The sequence below is a fragment of the Homo sapiens genome, chromosome 10 (assembly GCF_000001405.40).
Source record: "Homo sapiens chromosome 10, GRCh38.p14 Primary Assembly".
Lineage (NCBI taxonomy): Eukaryota > Metazoa > Chordata > Mammalia > Primates > Hominidae > Homo > Homo sapiens.
The window spans coordinates 110,226,647-110,248,183 of record NC_000010.11 but is presented as its reverse complement, the minus strand read 5'-3'; the positions used below and the strand labels follow the sequence as shown (position 1 = coordinate 110,248,183).

Below are 21,537 nucleotides of genomic sequence, written 5' to 3'. Positions count from 1 at the left end.
GGTGTGTGATGTTCCCCTTCCTGTGTCCATGTGTTGTCATTGTTCAATTCCCACCTATGAGTGAGAACACGCAGTGTTTGTGTTTTTGTCCTTGCGATAGTTTGCTGAGAATGATGGTTTCCAGCTTCATCCATGTCCCTACAAAGGACATGAACTCATCATTTTTTATGGCTGCATAGTATTCCATGGTGTATATGTGCCACATTTTCTTAATCCAGTCTATCACTGTTGGACATCTGGCTTGGTTCCAAGTCTTTGCTATTGTGAATAGTGCCACAATAAACATACGTGTGCATGTGTCTTTATAGCAGCATGATTTATAATCCTTTTGGTATATACCCAGTAATGCGATTGCTGGGTCAAATGGTATTTCTAGTTCTAGATCCCTGAGGAATCACCACACTGACTTCCACAATGGATGAACTAATTTACAGTCCCACCAACAGTGTAAAAGGGTTCCTATTTCTCCACATCCTCTCCAGCATCTGTTGTTTCCTGACTTTGTAATGATCGCCATTCTAACTGGTGTGAGATGGCATCTCATTGTGGTTTTGATTTGCATTTCTCTGATGGCTAGCCATATGTAGAAAGCTGAAACTGGATCCCTTCCTTACACCTTATACAAAAATTAATTCAAGATGGATTAAAGACTTAAATGTTAGACCTAAAACCATAAAAACCCTAGAAGAAAACCTCGGTAATACCATTCAGGACATAGGCATGGGCAAGGACTTCATGTCTAAAACACCAAAAGCAATGGCAACAAAAGCCAAAATTGACAAATGGGATGTAATTAAACTAAAGGGCTTCTGCACAGCAAAAGAAACTACCATCAGAGTCAACAGGCAACCTACAGAATGGGAGAAAATTTTTGCAATCTACTCATCTGACAAACGGCTAATATCCAGAATCTACAATGAACTCAAACAAATTTACAAGAAAAAAACAAACAACCCCATCAAAAAGTGGGCAAAGGATATGGACAGACACTTCTCGAAAGAAGACGTTTATGCAGCCAAAAGACACATGAAAAAATGCTCATCATCACTGAATCAAAGATTTTTAAAGCTCCATTCCAAATAGTTACTAAAGAGAGTCCCTAGTCCAGTGTTAATGGTTTTCACCAGGTTTCCAATGAAGGTCTCCCAAGGACCACATTCAAATGAAATAACTATAAAAGCCACATGTTTATCAATATTTAATCCATGGGCCCAAAACATACTCTATGATCTAATTTAGAGTAAACTTCAATTTAAGGTTTTATTTTTAGGAGCCTCAGAAGTTTCATTTCTTAGTCTTTTTTGTTATGTTTAAAATAGCCAGATATGTCCTTCCTTTATCCATCCAGATCTTTAATAAATCAGAAATAAAAGGCAGAAAAGATTCTTTAAAACGAAGGAGTTTCTACCACTAACTACCAAAATGTCTTTGACTAGACCACTCAACTTTGAGTTCCAGTTTTATCCTTCACTCAATACTAGAGCCATTGTCTCCTATACATGCCTCAAATGCTAGGCACTGAGGATACAAAATTGAACAAAACAGTATCTTTGCATTTGGGGCATAGTCATTTGGCAGAAATAATTACAATGCTACCTATTCAGCCTTACAATAAGAGACAAGAACACAGCACTGTGCAAAGTAGTAAAAGCCACTGAGTCTGCCTGAAAAACTATGCTAAGCCTTTTCAAGGGGATTTGACATTTAAACTTACTTGCAATGAGGCAGTTGGGCTAGCCAATATATTTTTTGTTAAAGGGAGGACAAAAAGTTGAAGGTCATGAGATCTTATTTGTCAAAAACAGCTGGTACATATGATTTCAGTTTGTTATTAATCTAATCTCTCTCATTTTTTTTTTAAGACAGGGTCTCACTCTCTGTCACACAGGTTGGAGTGCAGTGGCATGATCATGGCTCACTGCAACCTTCAACTCCTGGGCTCAAGTGATCCTCTTGCCTTAGCCTCCTGAGTAGCTGGGACTGCATGCCACCACACCAGCTAATTTATTTTTATTTTTTTGGTAGAGATGGAGGGCATCTCACTTTGCTGCCCAGGCTGGTCTCGAACTCTTTGCTTCAAGCGATCCTCCCACCTGGGCTTTCCAAAGTGTTGGGATTACAAGCATGAGCCACCATGCCTGGCTGCTATTAATCTAATCTCTACACCAAAAAGAAAGTATTTTACTCTTACAATTCTTATGTTCTCTTCCAAATTTGTCTTCTTCTTCTATTTCTTTTCTTGATTAACAGTAATATCATCTAAGACTCAACTATCCATAGCTAACTAATCACCAATTTCTATTGACTCCATTCCATACTCTTTACTTTGTCTACTTCTATCTCAGTGGCCACCATCATCTCTTACCTAGATTACTGCAATAGCCTTCAAAAGCATCTTCATGCCTCTGGTATCCCTTCTCCCAACCAACCAATTCTTCAAGCTGTAGCCAAAACGATATTTCCAAGACACAGGCTGATCATATGATAATCCACTTTAAAATTATTTAACTGCTCCCTATGGGTCTCAGGAAGTCTAAACTCTTGGGCATGGTAGACAAGACTCTTCAACACCTGGCATGCTTTACTCATGTTACAATCTTTTATAGTCACACTGAACCTTTTGCAGTTTCCTCAGTATACACTGCTCACTCACCATCCTCTGCAGAACTTTCCAAGACTCCCTTCAAAAAGGTATCAGGTGACCTTCTAAAATATCTTTCAGTACCCTCTAGTACCTTCTGCTTCTCCATTACCATACTTACCACATTATATAGTACTTTAATTACCTGTCTTTCCCTTACAAAGTTCTGAATTCCTTAAGGACAAAAACTATCATATATATTCTTGTATTTCCTATATAAAGCATTCTGCCTGCCTGGCACTGACATACAGCTCATGTTTGATAAATAGTTGTTGAATGCATGAATAAATGAATGAATGAATGAACAAATTACAAAGGAAGAAAAATTCAATGCCCTCCAATTTGTAATGCTTATTACCTACTCTTTAGAAATCCTACCCTTTAGCAAAACTACATTTAAACCATGAGCTTGTAACAATTAACTCATTTTCAGAGACAGAAATAAAGGCTATACCTAAAACTCAAATTCGAGTAAGCTTTAAAAATGTATTTATGTCTTCTAGCTGCTATAAGCTTACTATTAAATCATTTTTTGGAGAAAATACATATATATCAGATTCACAATGGGCTATACATCTGAAAAATAAAATTACAACTACATATGCACTATTACATTATTTTCACAGGTAAAATGGTGAGTTTGCTTTTAAACGTAAGTGAAAGCTGTACCTCATCACTGACTCACCGATTCTTTTCCAGCTCATTGTGTGTAGATCTAAAAGACAAAAAAAAAAAAAAGCATTAGCCATGCTTTGTTGCTAAAGCTATAGAAAGACAGATTAGTTACTGCTATGCTACACCTAGTGAATTTATTTAACAATGCAACACATGGTCAGACTTCTACAAGCTCACTCATCGAGAGGAAATAGTCTACATTCATTAGGATTGTTTATACAAATATAGTATTTTCAGTTAACAACTCTTAACAGTCTGAAACTGGAGTTTCATTGTTATTTTAATAAAAGTAATACTAGCACATGTTCTCCCTACTTCTAGCATCCTAGATTTTGTTGATCTGCAGATGTTATATAAGAAATTTTAAACATAATCCTGTTTTTATTTAAAAAGGAAAAAAAAAAGTGGGTGTACTTCCATGTCCTCCTCTATCTCCATCTACCCACTTCTAAACAGAGAAAAAAAAGTTTTGGCTAGCATAGAAGCTGAAAAAGGCTTGCGTTACTGCTTAGTGATACAGGCAAATCCAAGTCTTCCCACCTTATTTTGTGAAACAAAAACAAGAAAAAGTTATACATGAAAGAAAATTAATATAAAGAAAAAATATATTAATAAAATCAAGAAACGTGTTTTACAAGACTGGATAACTCGAAATGTTAGCAATGGTTATTGTTTAGTTTTGGTGACTTTTTTCCTTTTGTTTCTCATTATTTGTTTTAAATGATACCTTCTATTGAACAAGCACAGCATCTGGGGAACAGTGGGATAAGCAGTTAATATATCTTATTTTATCCCTAAAACAACCTTTGTTTTATAATCAAGAATACTGAAGCTCAGAGAAGTCAAGAAATATACTCCTCTCCCAAGAGTATAAAGTGGCAGCCATGATTTCAATCCAGGTCTATCTTAACAATCCCCAAATCTTAACCACTCAGTGAGAAGCAATACTGAACAGAGGTTAAGGGCACAGACTCTAAGGCCAAACTGCCTGAGTCCAAATACTGTATGGCCTCAGTAAAGTCCCTTCATTTCTCTGTGCTCGGTTTCCTCATCTATGAAATAGGAAAAATAACAGTATTTGCCTCATATGATTGTTATAAGGACTAACAGGTTTATGCTAAATAGCAAAATATAATGAACTCTAAAGTTAGCTACTATTAGAATTGTTATACTAGTTCCCTAGAATTAACATGTGTTACTTTTGCAATAACTTAACATTAACAACAACAGGAATTTTATGAAGGAGAATTTAAATTCCTGTCACTAGAACTAAAACTTTAATCATTTTGTAGATTCTGGTTAATGTCAAATGCTTAAAGAATATTTATGGCTTTAATCTGATTATTTCAATGGATATTTAATAATCAGATTCTCAAACCTTAAAATTAAGAGTGCTTTTGCTGGTCTCATAATTTGTGTAACTTTTACCCACTGTCTTAGCTTAAGGGCCAAAAGACTTCTTTGAGTTACTGTCTCCTATCCACCTTTTGCTTCATGAGTAATTTCATCAAGTCCAAGAGACATGAAATGAAAAAGACTGATATTCATTTAAAAATATTATCTTAACAAAAGGACTTCTCCTTTGAGGGAAGTAAATAGAGTCTTATGATGTTTCAAGAATTCAGATAGAAGAAACTATAAAAGCACAGTCAGAAATCCTAGTTTAACAGAGACTCGGAGCTCAAAATTCAATAAATTATAACCACAGTGTGCCTTTATCACCATAAAAGTGTTTAAAATTTTGTTAATCTTTGTTTGAATTAAATGTTAATCAGTCAAGTTAGAAGAGGGAAAAGGCCTATTTAAAGACGTTTAGAAGAAAAAATATAATTCAAAATTTGAATAAATAATCAATAGTAAGATTCCCCACCCCCACTGGTGAGCAAGTTTTGGTTTAATTGCCTCTCTCTGAGAAGAAAACTAAAAACAAAACAAAAAGACAATGCACATATAAAATACTACAGTAAGTAATAAATGGAAACATTGTATTTAGAGAAGAGCAGACTATTTGCCATAAACTTATTCTAAACAGCCATAAACTTATTCTAAACAGTCTGGCAATCCCACTGACAGCCATCAGTGCAAGAGATAATATACTCAACAATAACCAATTGTTGAATTCCAATATTATATTGAGTCTATTATCAAAGCTAGCTCCAAAAGATCATAATCTGACCCACTGCTGTGAACAAAATTAAAACAGCAGGTTCTTCCTGCCTGCCAAACAGACATTTCTTTATTATCTTTTTTTAAAGAAAATGATAGCTAAGATTATGAACCTTTTCACCAAACCAGGAAATGCATGCCACATTTAATTATACCACCAGCAAAATTTAGCAAGATTTTCAAATAACGAGAAGCAAAAATGATCATAAATATACAAATCATTACCATGTTGCCATGTTCTTCCAATTTTTTTTACAAAAGCATCAATAGTGTTTACTCCTATTTTGATGGGTTTTTACCTGTAATGTCAAGTCAACAAATACTGAGTACCTTCAGTGTTCAAGGCTGTCTTACACTACAGGAAATCAAAGACAGTCTCCATTGGGTAAATTAAGATATGTTTAGCAATAATTATAACTGAAGGCAAAATAAATATACAAAGAAAGGTACAAAGTATTGTGGGAGCTCAAAAGAGACAGTTTACTTCCAAATGGCACTGTAAGAAAAGCTTTAGAAGGGTGGCATTTGGTCTAAGGCTTAAATAATAGGTACATTTGCTACTAGTAGAGTCTGAAACTGTTAAGGAGATGCCATTCCAAGTGGAAGGGATAAGATAAGCAAACAAGTCGAGTTGTGAAGTCCAAAGCAAAACCAGCAAACAACACAAAAAGATCATAAAGACCCATGGTGTTAGAGAAAGAAAGTCATGAATCTAAATATTAACTCTGTCACTCACACAGGCTGTGTAACTTTGAGACAAATTATTTAACCTCGCTGGTTTACAGTTTCCTCATCTGTAAAACTGGAGTATTACACATGCCTTGGCCAGGTTACTGTGAGAATTAGAGAAACAGATGTAAAAACATCTAGCTCCTAATAAGTATTTAATAGATGCTAGCTACTGTTAGTATTTTTATTACTTTTTTAAAAGACTAAAATTATGTTACCCAAAACGTTATTAACTATACTACATGGGACAACAAATTGATAGGTTCTCAATAACACTTTGAATTAGCCTGGAAATAAGCAAACAACAACCATAATGATGGAAAGAGAAACTGAAAGAAAAGATAGGTGACTGAAGCTACTTTATCATTTAGTCAGCTGTGAGGACAGTACAAGGTTTAGGAGTATATTACAGAGAGAGATGCCTAATTATACGTACACAGAGAAAGTAATCCAAACAGTACAGGCGATAAACAAGTAATTAAATGTATCACACACTAGCACATTCAGAAACAACCCCTTTGCTTCTCTGAGGTATGTGTCCAACCAAGCCCTTCCAATAATGTTCCATTGAAATATTCAATTATGATAAATTCCCTGTGTAAGGCTGAGATGTTCTGAATAACCCATCTAGTTAGCCCACTTTTCTTCTCCCAATAAAATGCACCTCTGAGAGCAAACACTAATGAATTGTGTCTTCCTTTCAAACACCCTTACCCTGAACACTTAACAACTTCCAATGACAAAGACATTTCTATCATTTTATCATTGAATCACAGGTAATCTTTTTCGCAAACAGCATCCCTTTAAGAGAGGCATCCTAATGTATTCCCTATTTGAATGGGAGTCATTATCTATGAAATGTGACTACCTTAACCAGATATGTGACTTTTCATTGACTACAACATAGCTCCAATACATAAACTTGTGATTATTTAGGGTGTAGTTTGGTGGCAGTCAAAGAAATGAACCATAGAAATGAAACTATACGAAATGGTACAGTTTGGCTCAAGAGTAGTACCACTGTGGAAAGAAAATAAAAATCCCCACTCCAGAATTTCAATACTCTCTTCTAGCAAAAGAAAAGACCTCTAATTTTGCAGAATTAATGAGCCAATCCCTACTTTGTTAACATTTTCATTTAACTTACTTTCTAATCCTAAAGTGCCTCACAGATGTTGCCCTCCACACAATGAAAAGAGCATATTCTACAAAGCTAAATTCTAACTAACTGGTATCCTAAAGCTTACAATTCTTACACATACATGTAGAGGGCAAAAAAACCAGAAAATTTTAGCTATAGTAGAGCAGGTATCTTTCAAGGATATACCAAAGGGGTTGAGATTGAAAATATACTGGGATTAGTGGAACAGTAAAACTTCTATTTATTATTATTCTTCTTTTAAGACGGTAGTTTTCTGCATTTGTTTCCATCGAAAAGTACATCTCATTTTTAAAAACCATTAAAAACAGTAAAATTTGAATACTATAAACTTTTAGAAAAAATGCCTCATAAGAAATGTATTGCTTCTTTCTTAACAATGACAAAACAATTACCACCACAATAACTAAGCCCACGAACATCAAGTATCTAAACAGGATGCACAACAATAACTATAATCAATAACCTTTTTCCTTAAAACTTACATATCAAAGCTGGATATATGTATACTTTATGACTAAGTATTTCCACTTACAGGCATATACCAAGCCAATATATGTTTACATGTTCACCAAAGGACATACAAAAGAATGCTTGTATAGAACTATTCATACTGGCCCCAAACTGGAAGCATTCATCAATAGTAGAATGGATAAATTGTGAAATATTCATACAATGTAATATTACACAGCAATGAGAATAAACTAACTACAACTATTGTGCAATAACATGGATTAATCTACACAATTTCAACATAATGTTGAATGAAAAAAGCCAAACACACACAAAAAGTACACACTACATAACTCCATTCACATAAAGTTCAAAACTGGCAAAACTAAATTATGGCATAAAAAGTTGGAATTAAAAAAAAAAGTTGGAATTGCAGTTACCTTGGGGAGGGGGTGACAGTGACTGGAAAAGTCAGGAGGGGGCTTCTAAGATTTGTAATATTTCTTTGCTTTTGTAAAAATTCATTGAGCTGTACACAGGATTTGTATGCTTTTTTTGTATGTACATTTTACTTTGGTAAACAGGAAAAAATTTTTTAATAGCATACAAACTGAATTCTTTAAAAATCAATTCTTACTTCAAATATAGCAAACACCCTAATGTAAGTCCTTGACAAATCTTTTGGCATACTACATCTCAAACAAATGTGCTTTGTAAAGGATGATTTTTAACAAATCTAAAAGTACTGAAATCATACAGAGTAAGTTCTCCAATCACAATGAAATTTAATTAGAAATCAGCAACAGTAAGCTAATTAGAAAAATCCCAATATTTGGAACATAAATCACAGCTCAAAGAACAAATTGCAGAGAAATTAGAAAATATTCTGAACTTAATGACACAACATATCAAAAGTTGTTGAATGTAGCTAAAGCAGTGCTTAAACACAACTGTTTAGCTTTAAATCCTTCTGTTGGGAGGGTAGTGTCCAAAATCAATGATCCAAGATTCCACCTTAAGAAAGTAGAAAAAGGAACAAACTAAACTGAAAGAAGTTGAGCAACGGTTCTCAACTGTAAGCAATTTTGCCCACCAACACATCTGACAATGTCTGGAGATCTTCTGGTTATCACAATCAGGAGGAGGCTACTGGCATTTTGTGAGGAGATGCTAGGGATGCTGCTAAACATCCTATGATGCACAAAACAGAATTATCTGACCCCAAATGTCAAGACTGCTAACGTTGAGAAACTGAAGTAGAGAAATATAATAAAAACCAAGGACAGGAATGAAAGACATAGAAAATGAGAAATAGTGAATATCAGTAAAATTGAAAGCTGACTTTAAAAAATCAACACATTGATAAACTACCTCTAAGGCTGATGAAGAATAAAATACAAAAATTACAATACAAAAACAGTATCAAGAGTGTACATCATTACAGATTCTACATACATCATACATTAAAAGGATAAGAGAATATTATTAACAACTTTATGCCAATAATTGTCCACATCATCTAAATTTGATAACTTAGATGATATGAACAAATTTCTTGAAAGATACAAATGATCAAAACTGACTCAAGAAGAAACAGAAACTCTGAATTGCCTTTCATCTATTAAAGAGATTAAAATAATAATTTTTAAAAAAACCTTCCCACAAAGAAAACTCCAGGCCTGAAAGTTCTTCATTGGCAAATTTTACCAGGCATTTAAGGAATAAATAAAACCAATCCTACATAAAATCTTTGAAAAAATAAAGAGAGAGGGAACATTTTCCAAATCATTTTATGAGACCAGTATTAGCCTGATACCAAACCCTGACAAATTACATAGAAAACAAACAAAACAAAGACTAACATCTCTCATGAACACAGACACAAAAATTCTAACAAAATTTTGCCAAATTGAACCCAATAATATACAGAAAGTACCCTAGTTCCTGGGACAGAGCTTCTAAAACCTTGAAATTTTCTGAGTAATTAGGTGTGTCTTCATTATTCATAGTGGGTCTTCGGACTACACCTGAGTTTATGCCAAGGAGAGATAACTCAGGATAGGGGATGGTCACATCAGAAAGACCAACCATGTGATTAGAGGGTTGGGGCTTTGAGTCACTGATTGTGGCCCAACACAGGGGAGAGAAGTACTGGGAATTGACAACCATATAACCAATGATTCAATCAATCATGCTTATGTAATAATATCCCAATAAAAACTCTGGAACCTGAAACTTGGGTGAGTTTCATGGTTGGTAAACACATAAATGTGCCAGGAGAGTAATGCATCCTGATTCCATGGAAAAAGCACAGAGGCTCTGTGTCCAGGTTCCTCCCAGACCTCTCTCTCTGTGTCTGGGCATTTGGCTGGTCCTGATCTGTATCATTTATAATAAAACTTGCAATTATAAGCATAACAGCTGGACATTGTAGCGCATGCCTGTACTCCTAGCTACTTGAGAGGCTGAGGCAGAAGGACTGCCTTGAGCCCAGGAGATTGAGGTTGCAGTGGGCTTTGATCTCACCACTGCACTCTACTCCGGGTGACAGTTGAGACTCTGTCTCTAAACACAGACAAAGTGTAGCACTTTCCTGAGTTATAAGTAGTTCCAGCAAATTATCAAACCTGAAGGGGCTGTAGGAACCTCTGAATTTGCAGCCAGTTGGTCAGATGTGAGAGTGGCCTGAGGACTCCTGAACTTATGGCTGGCATCTGTAGCGAGGGCAGACATGTTGGGGACTAAATCCTCAAACCTGTGAAGTTTGTTTTAGCTCTGTGTTGTTAGTATCAGTACTGCAACAGTACAAAATACAACATGAATAAGTAGGATTTATTTCAGGAATGCAGGTTTAAGACTCAAAAATCCATCAATGTAATCCTCCATATTAACAGAATAAAAAAGAAAATGACAGTATCACCTAAATAGATGTAGAAAAAGCATTTAAATAAAATTTACCATCCATTCATGATAAAAACTCTTAGCAAATAAGGGAAGAAGGGAATTTACTCAACCTAAAAGGCATCTAAGAAAAACTATAGTCACACTCAATGGTCAAAGAATGCATTTTTTCATAAGATCAGGAACAGGGCAAGAATGTCCACTCTCATCACTTCTATCCAGCACTGTACTAGAGGTTCTAGCCAGTGAAATAAAACAAGAAAAGGAAATACACAGAAGGAAATGGAAGAAATAAAAATGTCTTTACTTGCAAACAACATTACTGTCTATTTAGAAAATCCTAAGGAATATACAGACTATTAGAACAATTAAGTTTAGCGAAGTCAGTTCACAAAACCAAAATGCCAAATTTAATTGCTATTTAAAATAGCATCAAAGAATACTTAAGGAAAAATTTAATAAAGTATGTGTATGACCCATACTCTGAAAACCTAAAAAATACTGCTGAAATTTGAAAATATCTAAGTAATAGACATACCATGTCTATTAATTCATGTTAATGAATTAGAAGATTCAATAGTTAATACATGTTGGGTTTCCCCAAATTAATTTATAGATCCAGTGCAATCCCAATAAAAATTCCAGCAGGCTCTGTTGTAGAAACTGACAAACTGATTCTAAAATTTATGTAAAAATGCAGGCCACGCACAGTGGCTCACGCCTGTAATCCCAACACTTTGGAAGGTAGAGGTGGCAGGACTGCATGAGCCCAGGAGTTCAAGACCAGCCTGGGCAACATGGTGAAAGCCTATCTCTACAAAAAATATAAAAATTAGCAGAGTGTGGGAGTGCACACCTGTAGTCCCAGCTCCTCACTCAGGAGGCTGCGATGGGAGAATCACCTGAGCCCGAGAAGGTTAAGGCTGCAGTGGGCCATGATCATGCCACTGCACTCCAGCCTGGGTGAAAGAGTGAAACCCTGTCTCAAAAAAATAAATTAATTAAAATAAAAATGCAAAAGACCTAGAATAGCCAAAGGAACTTTTGAAAAAGAAGAACCAAGTCGGAATACATTCATTACCTGATTTCATAACTTTTTGAAAAACTATAATAATTAAGACAGTGTGGCATTAGAATAAGGATGAATATTTAGATCAAAGGATCAGAACAGAAAATCCAGAAATAAGGCTCACAAGTCTGTGGTCAACTGATTTTCACAAAGGTGCCAAGGCCATTTAATGAATAAAGTATAGTCTTTTCAACAAATGATACTGGAACAACTGGATGTCCATTTGCAAAAAAAAAAAAAAAAAAAAAAAAAAAAAAAAAAAAAAAGAACTTCAACCTTTACTTCACACCCTCTACAAAAATTAACTCTAAATGAATTTTAAATCTAAATGTAAAACCTAATATTATAAACTGCTAGAAGAAAATAGAGAAAAAAATTTTTTTTGAGATGGAGTCTCACTCTGTTGCCCAGGCTGGAGTGCAGTAGCATGATCTCAACTCACTGTAGACTCCACTATCCGGGTTCAAGTGATTCTCCTGCTTCAGCCTCCCAAGTAGCTGGGATTACTGGCGTGTGCCACCATGCCTGGCTAATTTTTGTGTTTTAGTAGAGACGGGCTTCACCATTTTGGTCAGGCTGGTCTAGAACTCCTGACCTCATGATCCGCCTGCCTCGGCCTCCCAAAGTGTTGGGAACACAGGCATAAGCCACCACACCCGGCCAATAGAGCTTATTTATTTATTTATTTATTTATTTATTTTTTGAGACAGAGTCTTGCTCTGTCACCCAGGCTGGAGTGCAGTGGTGCAATCTTGGCTCACTGCAAGCTCTGCCTCTTGGGTTCACACCATTCTCCTGCCTCAGCCTCCCGAGTAGCTGGGACTACAGGCACCCGCCACCATGCCTGGCTAATTTTTTTGTATTTTTAGTAGAGACAGGGTTTCCCCATGTTAGCCAGGATGGTCTCGATCTCCTGACCTCATGATCTGCTGGCCTCAGCCTCCCAAAGTGCTGAGATTACAGGTGTAAGCCACTGTGCCCGGCCAAGCTTATTTTTTTTAACTAATAAACCTCATCATGAAACTGAGGCAATAATTTACCATAAAGTACTCAGAGATGAGAGTAAAATATCAATGTTTTTCTGTAGGTGATTAATAATAAACAGTACTACAAAGTATCTCATTTGGAAACATCATTCCTTTGGAGAATATTTGCTCTCATGTACTTTTTAAAAATCTTCATTTCTGGCATATTAATCTGCTGTTAGTCAAAGAGTATGACAGTCAAATTCTCATCTTCTATAGCAAGAAACGCTTCTCATTTAGAAATATGAAAGCAAACAACAGAAGAAGCTGTGAAATTATCGGAAGTGGTAGTCTCTAAGAAGCAGAAATTGGATGGAGAGAGGTGGGGCATGGGGATGTTATTTTCCTTTATAAGCTATTTAGTATTAATTGACTTTTTAAACTATATACATATATTACCTTTATAAAATGTTAAGAATTTAAAATAACTAGTTCACCTGGTAGCAGCAGAAATTAAGAAGCATCTTATACATTCTAAAGTTAAATATTGTTTGTAAAATAATATTTCTTAGGTAAGGCAGCAACACTAGAAACTACAGAGAATTTTGAAGGTTAAAATAATTGCTCTTAAACATATTCTCGAAGTTAAAAAACACATTAAGGTAAACAACTAATTATCTAGACTACTTCATTTGTTAACAACAAATTCTATTACAGAGCAATATTCTAAAAAACCTTTAAAAGTACAGAAAATATCAGCAATTTCCTAACTCATCTGACTTCCAAAGGTAATCATTTTAAGAGTCAGGCATGAAATAAACATTCAGTAAATAACTGTTGGGGGAAAAACGAGTGGTACCATAGATGTATAACACCTGCATCTATGGGGAGGAGCTGAGTATATTAATAATAATATAAAAGTTAGGAGCAACTTCAAAAAAATAGGTTTGATATTATGGGTAATGCTGTTAATTATGGTACCACTGACTGTGTTTTAAAATGTAGGAAACCAAAACAAAAAAACAATCTAACAAAAAATGCATGTTTATATTTCATCAGCACTATACAATCACACTAAAAATGGGACCTGGAAATACACTCTGTCAAAGCATACCATCAAGCCTCTTTGATTAGATTAGTATCTAGAAAACTGTCCTTACTGAAGAAATGACAAAGAATCATGCTATATTCAAAAGCAGGCAATGTTCTTTCATTTGCAAGGAGAAATCTAGAAGAGAAAGCTTTCTTCCAGTCAACAGTACTGCCTGATTATAACAATGATGCATATATTGCTTAAAATCCAGCTTGACAATAAAGTCAACCATCATCTACAGCTGTAAGGCTTAAGCAATCACCATCTCTAAGCCACATGTGCTTTAATCATAAAATGAGTGATAATATTTTGTCTTCATAAATCAGAGAATTGTACTAAAGAATTCCCTTTCTACATTTTGTGATCTTCTACATCATATATTCAATATTTTGACAAAAATGCCTTTCATCGACTAGGAACAGAAACAGCTGTCCTACTGACTTACAAGGCATGATCATACAAGTTTCCTTCAATACTTCCATAGAGGAATATAACCTTAAGAAACCCAGCAATAGCAAACTTACACTTCAAAGAAGCATTTAAAGGAAAGCCTCAGTTTTTTTAGTATAAGGCATATAAGTAATTCTTGGGAATTTTTCATTTAAGTCAATTTTGGTAGAAGACAGACTATCACAAAACACATTTCACTGGATGTGTTAATCACTCAAAATGCAGAAAATACTTAAGAATAATAACAACATCATTAAGAGTTTAACTGCTACTAATCTACATTTTTGTCCTGAAACTTTGGGAGTTTTCTACGGAACAAAGACCCAGAAACTACTTTTTAATATAAAAAAATTTGAAAAACACAGAATAGTAGAAAAAAATTACACAAAAATAAAAATAAGGCTTCATTCAATTCTTCTGTGAACAAATAGGTTCACGTAGAATAAAGAGAAGATAAAGCATCTCAAATTACTACTGGAAAAAATCCTTTGAAACTATCCTAGGAAAATAATTCACCACCATCCCTCTCCCCAGAAAAACTAAAAATCCATGAAGATAGCTGAAAAGGATGCAAAGCTAAAAAATAACAATACAATAATTCTATCTAAAATAAGACTAAAGCATTTCTTTATTCTACAGTTTAAGAAAAATTAAACTAAAGCCTTATAAACAACAGAAAAGTTGTTTTTTAGTGTCCTCAATCTTAGAAAGTGGAACTGAGATACTGCTTTTATGAGATTCTTTAGTATCCATAGGACACTAAAGAGAAGAAATATATCAACTTGAAATTAAAGCATAAATTGGCTATTTACTACTTCCCAGATTACCTTAAAACAATGCAATTACTATGTGTGTGTCACAGGCTCATATGAATATTTATTGCCAATATCTGAAAGACTTCTGTTTCTTTCAATATGCAAGTTTGGTATTATTTTATTTTCATGACACAGGATGACACTGAATGTTCTTCAAAATTAAGTGTAGCATTCTGTAGCCTGCTTGTTTAAAAGAATTGACAGTTTAGAGATTTTTATTCTTTAAATACTACATGCTGTTTTTCCAAATGTATCATTAACATCCCTTGGAACACAAAGTAATCAGAGTTTGCCAAAACAGGGGTTTTATCACTCTTCCTTCCAGTCTAATATGGTACTCAGCACAAAAAAGAAATTCAATTTAAGACAGTCTGCTTGGAGTTTGAAAACCTTCCATTCTTTAAGAAACACATACTATTTACGGGGCACTGTGATAAGTACTAGGGATAAATGTTTAAGCAGAAGAGACTCAATCCCTGCCCGCCTCGCAGGGTTTTTAATCCAGTGAATAGGACACGAATTTAAGAAACAACTGGATAACTGTATTTCTACAAATGTGATGAACACTATGAAGGAAAAATAGGGGTGCCATGAAGTATGTGAAGACCTGATCTACTACGGCAGATGAGGAAACATTCCTGAGGAACTTATGATTGAGCTGAAGAAGAGTGTTATTCAACAGAGATAACAAAGGGGGAGGGAAAATGATTCCCTGCAGGGAACAGAAAGTATGCAAAGATCTTGAGGTAGAAGAAAACGCGTACTGAAGGAATCAAAAGAAGGCTGGCCAATGTAATTCATAAGAACTGGCCAAGTGCGGTGGGTCACACCTGTAATCCCAGCACTTTGGGAGGCCAAGCCGGGCGGTTCATGAGGTCAGGAGATTGAGACCATCCTGGCTAACACAGTGAAACCCTGTCTCTACTAAAAATACAAAAAATTAGCCGGGCATGGTGGCAGGCACCTGTAGTCCTAGCTACTCGGGAGGCTGAGGCAGGAGAATGGCGTGAACCCAGAAGGCAGAGCTTGCAGCGAGCTGAGATCGCGCCACTGCACTCCAGCCTGGGCAACAGAACCAGACAAAAAAAAAAACTGTAGTTGCAGGGACACCAGGTAGGAAGTTACTGCAGTCGTCCAAGTAAGAGATGATGGTAGCTGAGATTAGGAGGATAGTAATGAAGGTAACAGGAAAGAAGGCCGACTGAAGAGATATTTAGGAAGAAATCAGTGTTACACTGCAGTCATGGCTTATTTAGTAGAGTTTTAAGGATGACAGACCTTGAGATTTTTCACCTGTGGTACCAAATAGTAAAGAAGCTGGAATTTGAACTTATCTGATGCTCCCCAAAAAGCCAGATAGCTATTGCAGCCACATTCTCTAACAGCAGTAACATCTTAGCAATGTTGATTTTTGGAAGTGTGCCAGAAGGCTGTGACCAAGACCACAGTAAAATCAAGCATTTATTTTAATTATATATTATAGGTGCCACTTCCAACTATCAGAAGGATCCCAAATGATAAAATTACTGGTATTTGCAAGGAACATATTTGTAATATCACATTATATCATTTATTTTCTCTCCTTTTTACTTCTTTGAAAATAAGATTTTAAGGAATGGGGGAAAGGGGAATAGGAATTTATAATATTAGGAGTTAACTACTTTCAGCATAAATTTATAAAGTTACTTTTTTGAGGGGGGGGGGGTGGATTATCACTCTGTTGCCCAGGCTGGAATGCAGTGATGCAATCTCAGCTCACTGCAACCTCCGCCTCCCAAGTTCCAGCAATTATCCTGTCTCAGCCTCCCAAGTAGCAGAGATTACAGGCACACACTACCACACCTGGCTAATTTCTGTATTTTTAGTAGAGACAGGGTTTCATCATGTTGGCCAGGCTGGTCTCGAACTCCTGACCTCAGGCAATCCACCTACCTCAGCCTCCCAAAGTGCTGGAATTACAGGCGTGAGCCACTGCACCCTGCCTAAAGTAACATTTTATCAGGCATATCATATAATACCTGAGAATATCAGGGGTAAAATAGTCAATCACCATTATATCTTAAAGATGCTACGATGTCAGAGAAACAAATGTCATTTTATAACATACATCAGTGTTCAAGATGTATAGTAATAAAATAACAGCTACTTCCACACTAGTAGCTTTTTGATCAGGAAAAAATAAGACATATATACTTATGAAGTCCATTCCTTTCCTTGTTTCAGATGATAAATACATGGAAATTTCTGTAAGTCTTCTAACTTTCTGCTTTATGTAACCAGCATAATAAAATCTCATTAAAATCCAATAGTAAACTTAAAATTAAGAAGAAGCCTACAGTGTCCTCTTTCAAATGGACCAACACTATTGTCCAAATACCCCAGTATTGGAATTTCTACCTCAGCTCTCCTTACTTCCATGAAGCAGGCATTTTAAATAAGTGGCAAAGGAGAAATAATTTCTAGTGTTTCATTTTAACATACTAGTTCTCTCTCATAAGCCCCAGCCCAAAACCCACACATTGGTGGATCTTGAGATAATATATTCTAAAATATATTTTTCTCTCTCTCTCTCTTTCTTGCTACTTATATTCCCATAAAAAAAGTATCTTCTCCTGTTTTAGGTGGTCTAATGTACACATATTCTCCTTTGGGCACTATCAGAACAATATGGCATGCTTGCAGTTTTACAAATTTTCCGACATGCTATGCTAAAACACAGTAATTAGCACTGTGGTCCCACACATAATATTAGAATCCTAACAGAGACACTAGCATGAAAGAGAAACATCACTTAGCCCAAACCCCAAGCTGAGCAAAGCGTAAGTCAACAGATGACTAAGAGTTTCTTATTAATGACCGGTAACATAATTGATAAAACTTAGGAATGTGCATCTTATTTATGCCTCTATAATCCTTGAGTTCCTAAAAATGTCACATCTGCAATGATGGGAGACATACTAAATTACTAATATAGTAACCAATCTCTAAAACTGTCAATAAATCAGAGTCATAGAAGTTCAGGAGAAGGAGGGACCTTGGTGAGACTCTAATGCATCTTATTTTACAGATGAATACAGTAAGGGATGGGAAATGTACTGAAATTATATACCTAATTTCTAGAAAATAGGAAAGGCTTAAATACTTGCAGCACGACAGAACCCAGGTCTAGTTTCCTATGTGTACTCTTCCTATGTCTCCAAGTTGAAAAAAAAAAGTTTTTTAATCTATGTGGATTGAAAGACACATAAATTCCTGAATAGGTCTTAATTCTTGATAGCTTAAACACTGAAACCGTAAGGGCAAGCAAATGTACATTTTTTAAAATGCTGTATATCATACTACATATTTTCATCTCAAATACACCATACTACAACAAAATCTCTAGACCCACACACAACACAGATAGTACATCAAGCTTATGGTTAATTATTTTTATAACTTAAGAAATTAAGTTTAAAAACTATATAGTAGTCTTAATGAAAAGAAGCTAAAAAAGGAAACGTGCAGCTCTATAGAGAAGTCAAAGGAGAAAAGTGAATCCTAGTTTTTCCTCGGTGATGTCTGAAATACAGAGTGGGATGATCCAACCTCATGAGTTCCAATTATTATCTGTAGAAGCCTCAGGCTTTCTGAATCAAGAGCCCCATTCTGACCCAATCTGCTGTCCCAAATGACTAACCAACCACCTGACTGAAGCTCCCCAAAGCCTTCAGGGAAATTTGGTTACCCAGGGATTGCTCTGTCCTCCTCAAAATGAATGTTTATTATATTCTCTAGACAAAGCTCTGGGAAACAGAAATAAAGGTCTCATTTAATTCCCCTTATCAATGGAAAAGGCAGCCATCTGTTAATCTTCTGTTAAGAAAGGCCTTTTGAAAACTTCCTATGAGATGAATCCTAGGAATTCACTGGCTCCCTAGAATAAAAACACCGAAGAGATAGCCACATACTACTCAAAAGTTTTCAAAAATGGAAGTCAGCTACATCTTAGTACATCTATTTTTTTCTCTTTTTGACACAAAGTTTCACTATGTCATCCAGGTTGGTCTTGAACTCCTAAGCTCAAGCAATCCTCCCACCTCAGCCTCCCAAAGTGCTGGAATTACAGGCGTAAGCCACTAGGCCCAGCCTTTCCAAGTACATCTAGACAAGTATATTTTTAAAGATCTATTCTGCTTGAAAGATAAACAGATTTTTTTTTCCTTTTTGCTTTAAGAGCCCACCAACCAATCCGATCTCATCATTTAAAGAGGCAAAACTTTCACAGCATGGTCTTCCCTTTTCTCCTTAAACAAATAACCACATCCGCTCACTACCAATTCTACCTAAATATTTTTATTCCTTTAACAAACCCTTGATTCTGCTTTATACCCTGCCAGACCTATTTCTGATTTTTTTTTTAATCTTCTTGGACTGTCCAAAACTTGGCCAGAATATTGAAAGCCAGCCCACGATTACTTTTAGCAGGTGGCTGCATGCATGGACACATGCTGCCAAGTCTCTCAACTTGGCATAGCCATCTTAATAATCCCAGCAAGAACTTCTTTGGTTGTCTTTCCAGATTATATTCCTTTCCTTCCATGCAAAACCAGGTTATGATTTCTAGACTTCATTATTTTAAAAGGGCCAAATCCCCAGGGTAGTGGTAAAGGAACCCATCAAGTGCTGCTCCTTCAGACTTGGGATTACAGGAGAAATGTGCTCCTTCCCTCCAGTTCCCTCTTCTAAGCGTTCCCAGCTTGCTACCTGTTGGCAGTGCTGGTGTTGCTGCTCCCGCTGCTGTGTTTCTGTGCCCGGCTCAACCTCCGTGGGGGCTTTGAATGCTGCAGTCGGGGGCTCGGCATGGACGGGAATGAAGAGGCGTAGCCATGTTCACACTCTGAAGAAAGCAAGAAAAAAAGATACGGTAAGAAGAATATAGTACCCAAATCCATTGACCCACAAATCCGAGGTCTTTGCAGTAACAGGTTTTTGAAAGCAGGAAAAGAGGTAAAATGTTTCCACTCTTTTTGGTTAGAAAATTAATGTCCCTCGCCTGGACATCAATCCTGTGACACCCCACCAGCTGGAAGGTGTTTTGATACCTCCTCTAAACCAAAGAGTTTATCCCCCCTTTCCAAAATCCTTCTCTCCCAAGAACTTGAGATTTCAGATGCTTTAGAACAAAAATTTTGTGACCAGTTACCATTCACCTCATTGACTTCGCTTGCCTCAAAAATTCCCCTTTACTTTCAACTCTCTCTGTTCTAAAGAGTCTCTTTAAGCCCAATATTTTTGTGTACTTCGAACAAGTCTTAGAAAGACATTTTCTCTCTCGACACCACAGTCTCCGAGTTCCTGGTCTTTCTGCGCCATCTCTACAGCCCCTTGGGCTGCCACCGCTAAAGGGACCCCATCTCATCACCCCGCAGGTATTCAAAGGCCCCTCTCCACCGGTTTTCCCCCGCTCAGTGTTCTCCCGGCCTCGTCCCTTCCCCTGACCCCCCCCAGCATCCGTGTTCCTCCTTCCTCTTATCTCCCAGCACCCTCTCCCGCTCCGGGGCCCTCCAAGCTTCTCCACGGTCACCCTCTCTCCAGCCCCAGACCGCCCTCTCTCCAACTTCCCTCCACCCGTCTCCTTCCCGCTCGCCGCACACCCACAGCCCCACCCTCCGTGCGCACCCTCGCACCTCCCCCAGCACCTGCGCGACCTCTCACACACGCCTCCACTCACGATCTCAGCACACACACCTCCCCACGCACGCGCGCCCCTCCCCGCACCCGCCCCTCCCACACGCGCACGCCCCTCCCACACGCGCACGCCCTTCCCGCACACGCCCCTCCCCCCCGCGCACCATCCCTCCCACGCGCGCACCCCTCACACACGCGCGACCCTCCCCGCACACGCGCGACCCTCCCCACACACGCGCGTGCCCCTCTCCTCACACGCCCCTCCCCTAACGTGCGCACCCCTGCCCTCACACACACGCATGGCCCTCCCCTCACACGCCCCTCCCCACACGCGTACGCCCCTCCCCTCACATGCTCGCACCCCTCCCCTCACATGCGCTCACCCCTCCCCTCACACACACGCGCGCGCCCCTCCCCTCACACCCGCGCGCCCCTCCCCTCACGCGCGCGCTCCCCTCCCCTCACACGCCCCTCCCCTCACACGCGCGCACCCCTCCCTCACACGCGCGCACCCCTCCCTCACAGGCGAGCTCCCCTCCCCTCACATGCTCCCCTCCCCTCACACACTCCTCCCCTCACATGTGCACGCCCCTCCCCTCACGCGCGCTCCCCTTCCCTCATACGCCCCTCCCCTCACGCGTGCGCCCCTCCCACACGCGCGCTCCCTTCCCCACATGCCCCTCCCATCACAAGCGCGCTCCCCTCCTTCACTCGCCCCTCCCCTCACGCGCGCGCTCCTCACACGCCCCCC

At 37.7% G+C, this 21,537-nt stretch overlaps 1 protein-coding gene across 3 annotated transcripts in view, besides 1 other annotated feature; it reads right to left on the bottom strand.

Annotated features, from left to right (window-relative positions):
• The window catches only part of MXI1 (MAX interactor 1, dimerization protein), a 79,761-nt gene that overhangs the window by 39,182 nt on the left and 19,042 nt on the right, over positions 1-21,537 (bottom strand). For 2 of the 3 annotated variants that reach the window (NM_130439.3, NM_005962.5), the window contains exons 2-3: positions 19,863-19,995; positions 3,327-3,356 (exon numbers count right to left, since the gene is read on the bottom strand). In NM_130439.3, the coding sequence (NP_569157.2) occupies positions 3,327-3,356; positions 19,863-19,995 (163 nt within the window). The remainder of the gene's footprint in view (positions 1-3,326; positions 3,357-19,862; positions 19,996-21,537) is intronic. The other variant, NM_001008541.1, reaches the window with a different exon arrangement.
• Positions 20,740-20,809: a silencer, noted in NCBI's record as "silent region_2812". NCBI's record gives its function as "represses an Ori minimal core promoter by ATAC-STARR-seq in GM12878 lymphoblastoid cells {active_cell/tissue: GM12878}" and the evidence as "EXISTENCE:reporter gene assay evidence [ECO:0000049][PMID:35858748]".